This window comes from Homo sapiens, chromosome 14 (genome assembly GCF_000001405.40).
Source record: "Homo sapiens chromosome 14, GRCh38.p14 Primary Assembly".
In the NCBI taxonomy this organism is placed as follows: Eukaryota; Metazoa; Chordata; class Mammalia; order Primates; family Hominidae; genus Homo; species Homo sapiens.
The window spans coordinates 74,704,785-74,712,378 of NC_000014.9; the positions used below are offsets into that span (position 1 = coordinate 74,704,785).

General features: G+C 40.0%; 1 protein-coding gene across 9 annotated transcripts in view; it reads right to left on the reverse strand.

Moving 5' to 3' along the window:
- Window positions 1-7,594, reverse strand: part of AREL1 (apoptosis resistant E3 ubiquitin protein ligase 1) — a 51,825-nt gene that overhangs the window by 43,529 nt on the left and 702 nt on the right. The window lies entirely within an intron of this gene.

Genomic DNA, 7,594 nt, shown 5'->3' on the forward strand with positions numbered 1-7,594 from the left:
TTCATAGTTTGTGGTTTTTGTGTTCTATTTTTTAAAACTCTGCCTAGCTCAAGGTCACAAAGATTTTCTCCTGGTTTTTTTCTAGAGGGTTATCTAAACGTTTCACAAGAGAAAATCCTCTCGTCAAATTTTTTAACAAGAACTTTTTAAAACTCCTGCATTCCATTTATCTCATAGTCATTAAGTTTTATTCCCCTTGTTTCTTTCAAATTCAATGCTGCACATTACCATGCACTATTTAAGTTACAGTCTTCTGTTGTTTTTTTTTTTTTGAGACGGAGTTTCGCTCTTGTTGCCCAGGCTGGAGTGCAATGGCACCATCTCGGCTCACCGCAACCTCCACCTTCCAGGTTCAAGCGATTCTCCTGCCTCGGCCTCCCAAGTAGCTGGGATTATAGGCATGCGTCACCACGCCCAGCTAATTTTGTATTTTTAGTAGAGACGGGGTTTCTCCATGTTGGTCAGGCTGGTCTCGAACTCCCGACCTCAGGTGATTCGCCCACCTCAGCCTCCCTAAGTGCTGGGATTACAGGCGTGAGCCACCATGCCTGGCCCCAGTTATAGTCTATTTCTGAATTTGGAAAGATTTTAATATTTTAACAGATTTTTCCTCTCTTCAATCTAGTAAATGGAATGCTTAAGTTTAGCCAAGGTTTTAGTCCCTCACTTCTCTCCAAATCCACATAAGACCTCTGCACCCCTGATACTGGTTCTTAAAACAACAACTAAATTCCACAACCCAGAACATGCACCTTGAAGTTAAGCCAGGGACAATAAACTAGTTACCCTTCTGGCTTTAACGAGAGTCTTTTATAAGATCATGCCCACCTTACTGAGTCACTCTAACCTGTGATGAGACTGGAAAATGTTGTCCTATAATCACTCACTGGTTAAATTAAAATTTAGGCTTATAAAGGTTAAGCTAACCAAGACAAAAGTAATTCTGCATTTCTTAATTCAGTTTGGATTCTCTCTATTGCACCATTCTCTCTAAAACAAGCCAGAGTTCTTCAGACCCGTATTTCTTTTTGTATAGTATACACAAAGGCATAGCTTAGATTCAGCTGTCCCTGGAGTTGTTTGCCATTCATTCTCAGCACAGTTTAGAGAAAGCAGGAAAAAGGGATTCAAAGCTAATGTTGAGTATAACAGGGAAAACAAGAAGTGAGAATTTACCATTGCTCATTTTGTAACCTCATGGGGAGAAAAACAAAAGAGAAAACTGGCTCATCCATGTCACTGTCCCATTCTTAACCCTAAATCTAGAAAATACTAGCTTCAGTTTCCTCTTCCCTCCTATCTTGATGTGTTTTCTATATACAAAACTGACTCTGCTATGCCTGAGCCACAGAGGACAGGCCCCCATGTTCCCATCTCATGGCAGCTTTTATGCTTAGGTGACTTTGGACCACTGAATCTTGGCTATAACAGGAAGATTTTAAAAGTAATTCTTTGAACCTGACAAGCCGTCTCCCTCAATAAGTCTAGGAAGCTATTATTCCATTAACTGCGCCTGAAGTGGCAGGCACACAGCCAGATCTGCAGCCCAGTCGGGTGGAACTGGAATGGTCACACGTATACTTAAAAGCTAACTCTGCCTCTACTACCATCCATTACTTTCAATTCTGTGCTTATTTTTAAGGAAAATAAATTATTTATATAATTGAAAGGAAAAACAATGTTAATTAAATGAGCATTTTGTAGTTAAGATTCCAAGAAGAAAAACTCAACTAGCCACAGAAATGGCACCCTAAGATAGCTGGATTTGAAGGAGAAACTCAACACTTACCTATTCAAAACAAAATTTCTGTTGACCTAATAATCAGTTTTACCAAAGAAAGGTCTATTAATTTCTTCAAATGCATATTAAGAAGCGACCACATGCCAAGCAATATGTTGGACCCTAAAGATTCCAGAATGAGTAAAATATTCTCAACACTTTAGAAACATAAAAGCTTAGTAAAGAAGACAGACAAATAAATAATTACGTAGTTATACTTCCGTGTAGTAAAATCTATGAGGTGAGCATAGAGGGTATGGATGGATACCTTAATCAAGATCAGCTCTTAGCTTCTCAGGAAAGTTCACATCACCCTCCTGGAAGCAAAGTCAACTCTTCCATAGAGTTAACAATGCTTTGGGGGTCAAGGAATACAAAACACTACCTATGAAGTATTACTTATTCTCAGGGTCAATGACTCTCTTCAACACTCGTCAGAGGGGATTCTTGGACCACATACATAGCACAGAAAAAGCACTCACTGGAAATACCAACTTATTTATCAAAATTATACACGATCTGGTCGGGCACAGTGACTCATGCCTATAATCCCAGCACTTTGGGAGGCCGAGGCGGGCAGATCACCTGAGGTCAGAATTTCGAGACCAGCCTGGCCAACATGGTGAAATCCCATCTCTACTAAAAATACAAAAATTAGCCAGGCGTGGTGGCAGGCGCCTGTAATCCCAGCTACTCGGGAGGCTGAGGCCGGAGAATAGTTTGAACCCAGGAGGCAGAAGTGGCAGTGAGCCAAAATGGTGCCATTGCACTCCAGCCTGGGTGACAAGAGCGAAACTCCATTTTAAAAAAAAAAGAGGCCGGGCACAGTGGATCACACCGGTAATCCCAGCACTTTGGGAGGCCAAGGTGGGCGGATTACGAGGTCAGGAGATCGAGACCACCCTGGCTAAAATGGTGAAATCCCATCTCTACTAAAAATACAAAAAATGGCCGGGCACAGTGGCTCACACCTGTAATCCCAGCACTTTGGGAGGCCCAGGCAGGTGGGTCACAAGGTCAGGAGATCGAGACCTTCCTGGCTAACATGTGAAACCCCGTCTCTACTAAAAATACAAAAAATTAGCTGGGTGTGGTGGTGGGCGCCTGTAGTCCCAGCTACTTGGGAGGCTGAGGCAGGAGAAAGGTGTGAACCCAGGAGGCGGAGCTTGCAGTGAGCCGAGATCGCGCCACTGCACTCCAGCCTGGGCGACAGAGTGAGATTCGTCTCAAAAAAAAAAAAAAATTAGACGGGTATGGTGGCGGGCGCCTATAGTCCCAGCTACTTGGGAGGCTGAGGCGGGAGAATGGCGTGAACCCGGGAGGCGGAGCTTGCAGTGAGCCGAGATGGCGCCACTGCACTCCAGCCTGGGCGACAGAGTGAGACCTTCGCCTCAGAAAAAAAAAAAAAAAAAGAAATTACACATGATCTAACTGGAATGTGGTATTCTAGATTCAGTTTGGGTATAGAAAAAGGAAATTAGTGGAGAAACTTGTGAAATCCAAATAAAGTCTATAGTTTAGTAATAGTATTGTACCAATGTTAATTTCTTAGATGTGACAGTATGTGCCATGGTTATGTAAGAAGTTAACATTAGGAGACACCGGTGAAAGGTATACAGGAATACTCTGTACTATCTTTGCAACTTTTTTATAAATTTAAAATTATTCCACAATTTAAAACAATTTAATTACAGATGGTGCTCCCCTTTACATTCTCACTCCCCCTTAGAATTCTAATCATGTCTCCCTAATCATTGCCCCAATTCAGGTAATGCCAGCCTAAAACTTTTTAAATATCTTTTTTAACCCCTTTCTATGAACTGTTTGCACAGCCCACCTGGGATTTCTTCTTTACCAAGACATGAAAAACTAGATCACACTTGGGAAGTTTTAACTGTTTTCTGTTCCTAATAGGTTTACCATATATACCGGGGGTACCTTGAATTTGAACTTCCCAAAGCGGACAAGAGAGGGGTTAAAATAACATGCTCTGGGTCTCTGGATAAAAGCAAGGGGACATTACAGAAAATATGTTGTATATTAATAAATTATCTAATCTCTGGCCAAAAAGTACAATATATAGAAAATCAATTAACAGATGTTAACTATTGGCATCTCAACAGTAACAAGCTGCACTGAAATAAATGCCTTCGCTCTGAAAAACATGATGCAAATTGCTCAACTATTCAAGATAACAAAAACTCATAAAATCATATGGAACCGTTCAATTAGACTAAATGACAAAACATGTATCTACCATGACTATTTAGTTTCTAATAGCTAAGTGAATACCCATCTTTCTCTATAAACCCTATCTTGTAGAACAGTCTTCAAAAGAGCCACCAGGAAAACATCACTATGGTGCTGTAACACCATATCAACAGCTCAGGCATGCGTGTGTGTACACACACATACATACACACAAACTGCAATAAGGTTAAACAACCTCAAAAGTTTGAAAACTACTATATGAAAGAACATTAGTGAAGGCTAAGCATTCAGAACCCTTCAAAGAAAAAGAAACCAAAGAAAAATAACTGAAATTTAAACCCAAGTTAGTTAATAGCTAAAGTCATTTAAAAGGTAAAACGGTCAGGCACAGTGGCTCATGCCTCTTCTCCCAGCTACTCAGGAAGCTGAGGTGGGAGGATGGCTTGAGGCCAGGAGTTCAAGATCAGCCTGGGCAACATAGCAAGATCTAATAAATAATAAATAAAAGGTAAAATGATACACTAGAGTCCATTAAGGTCATAAAATCTGATCTATTACATGGTACTAATATGTTGATAGTATTAAATAAATATTACACAACAGTACTCTGACCTGGACCACTTACAGAAAGATGAACAAGAAGAGTAATTCCTCTAAAATATTTCAACTCCCACATCTCTATTCAGCCACCAACCATACTTTACCTATTTACAAGTCTTTCTGTAATACAGGACTGTGGTGAGATTGCCCAGGACAGAATGGGCCCTCAATAAATGCTTTCTGAATGAATGACCAAGCGGCAGTAATCTATCTCTGAGGTATTCTTACAAACCAATTCAATATCAAGACCTCAGAAGCAGAACATGCTGTATGCCATGCTACCACATTTAGGGGCAGGCAAGTTAATTGAAAAATAATTAACAGCGACTAATGTTTGTTGGGAGAAAAAAAGTCCTATCATGTAAGTCAGAAAAATAAATGTAAAAACTATAACTTGAAAATGGACAAAAAAGTGAATCTACTTATAACTTTCTAACATTGAAATACAAGATGTTCTTTAAGGAGTCTTTCATTATCCAGAATAATTTTACAAAGAAATTTGATACCAACTTAAATTAGTAAGTTAGACCAATTAGTGAATGGAATGAAGTCCAAGCCCAATTATGTGTTCAAACTGTGTGTCCAATGCCTTGGGTGATTTTTTCTCTTCAAGACTGCAGAAAAATGCAAAACAACCCTCTTGACTGCTGAGAAGGACTAAAATCATTTCTTTTCCTCACAAGTATGTGCCCAAAAGCAATTACTTTCTGCTCCCATCCATCACAAATCAACACTACCTCCCAGCTTCGCATCCCCCACTTTCCATCCCCATCAAAGAATGCTGTAGAGTATCTGACCACTTTCATTTCACGCTATAAGAACCTCAGATTGCAATAAAATTACAATGCAACAAAAACAAATTTTTCTAAGTATGTTCTTATCCCCCATGGTGTTCCTACACTAATTTAGCTCCCTATTAGGTATTAACAATCAAGGAAATCAGAACACTCTCAATAGAGGTTACAATAGAAATTACAAATGGCCTTTTTTTAAGTTGTTGTTGTTCATGGATTCCAAAATTCAAAGTACACATTACCAGAAGAGCGTTTTTCTGTCAGTGCCTAAATTTAAATGCAAATTACTATTTAATGATATGCAATTTTCCCTCTGAACCTATATATAATACTAATGAGTCAAATGTTTAAGAAGAATAACTGACCATGTTATTTTAGCTTTTAGACAATAAAAAGCTTATTGTCTAATCACCAAGAGATACATCAAAAAACTGGTTGCTATTAGCTCTACACATGAATGGCAGCTTGACAGAGACAAGCTGCTCCAGAAAGATTAGGAACTTCTAGTGACCACAAATGGGGTAAAGCAGAAGGCACATACAGTATCTGTAGCTACCATTTCTACATCAAAAATTCAGTGCCCACAGATATGTAAACTATTAAGCCATCTAAATGAATGTGTGCCTGAAAGAGAAAGGAGAAGCAGAAAAAGTTTACACCCAAATCAACAGAAGAAATCACCCTGCGATTGAGCATCCCAGGACCTGAAAACTTAATGTTTTGAGGTTTATGAACACGTTCAAGTTCCAGTGCAACTATGTTAAAATAAAATTGGGCTGGTGCCAGGCACGGTGGCTCACGCCTGTAATCCCAGCACTTTGGGAGGCCAAGGTGGGCGGATCACCTGAGGTCGGGAGTTCAAGACCAGTCTGACCAACATGGAGAAACCCCGTCTCTACTAAAAATATAAAATCAGCCAGGCGTGTTGGCGCACGCCTGTAATCCCAGCTACTCAGGAGGCTGAGGCAGGAGAATCGCTTAAACCTGGGAGGTGGAGGTTGCAGTGAGCCGAGATTGCGCCATTGCACTCCAGCCTGGGTAACAAGAGCGAAACTAACTCCGTCTCAAAAAAAAAAAAAAAAAATTGGGGCTTGGCACAGTGGCTCACGTCTGTAATCCCAGAACTTTGGGAGGCCGAGGTGGGCAGATCACCTGAGGTCAGGAGTTTGAGACCAGCCTTGCCAACATGGTGAAACCCATCTCTATTAAAAATACAAAAATTAGCAAGGTATGGTGGCACACACATGCCTGCAGTCCCAGCTACTCGGGAGGCTGAGGCAGGAGAATTGCTTGAACCTGGGAGGGGGAGGTTGCTGTGAGCCGAGATTGCGCCACTGCACTCCAACCTGGGCAGCAGAGGGAGGCTCTGTCTCAAAAATAAAATAAAATAAAATAAAATAAAATTGGCATAAAATTCCAACCCTGCCACACATCCTCAAGTTGGAAGACACACAATGGTAACAACAGAAAACACTCTGAGTAGTCTGGTTTACACTCTTCTAGGGACCTCGCATGTTAACTATGAATAAACATAAGTCCTGATAACATCCCAATAAAAGAGTGCTACTATGATTATCTCCATTTTACAGATAAAGAAACTGAGATGCAGATAGATTAACTCACCCAATGTCATGGCGAGTTATAAGGCAGAGCAAGGATTTTAACCCCATCAGTCAGACTCCAAAGTTCGTGTTAAACAATAAACGTGTTTTCATCATAAGGGTTATACAATGGTCACCTTCTTTTTTAAACCTGATAACATATTTTACTTCCAACTCTAGGATAGCATCATGCAATAAGAAAAGTATGACAGAGGTACCCATTCCGTTCCCAGCTTGATCAGTAGCTGGAGAATGGAAGACAAAGTGCAAAAAAAAAAAAAAAAAAAAAAAAAAAAAGAAAAAAAAAGAAAGAAAGAAAGAAAGAAAAAGAAAAAAAGAAATACAAGTACAGACTTTGGAATCACGAGACTCAAACAGACCCCTGAACAAAGTCTGGGGCTCAATTTCCCCATATGTAAAATAAAAGAATTTATGTTATTGAGAAGGTCAAAGAAGGTAATATGAATAAAGTGACAAGTACAGTATACAGGATGGGGGTTTTCATTTAAAGTTTACAGACACCCAGAGGGTCCACGGATGGGCTTCAGAGTCCACCAATCTCATTAAGTGTATTACAAACTGTATGTGTGCCCATTTTTTAAAGAATT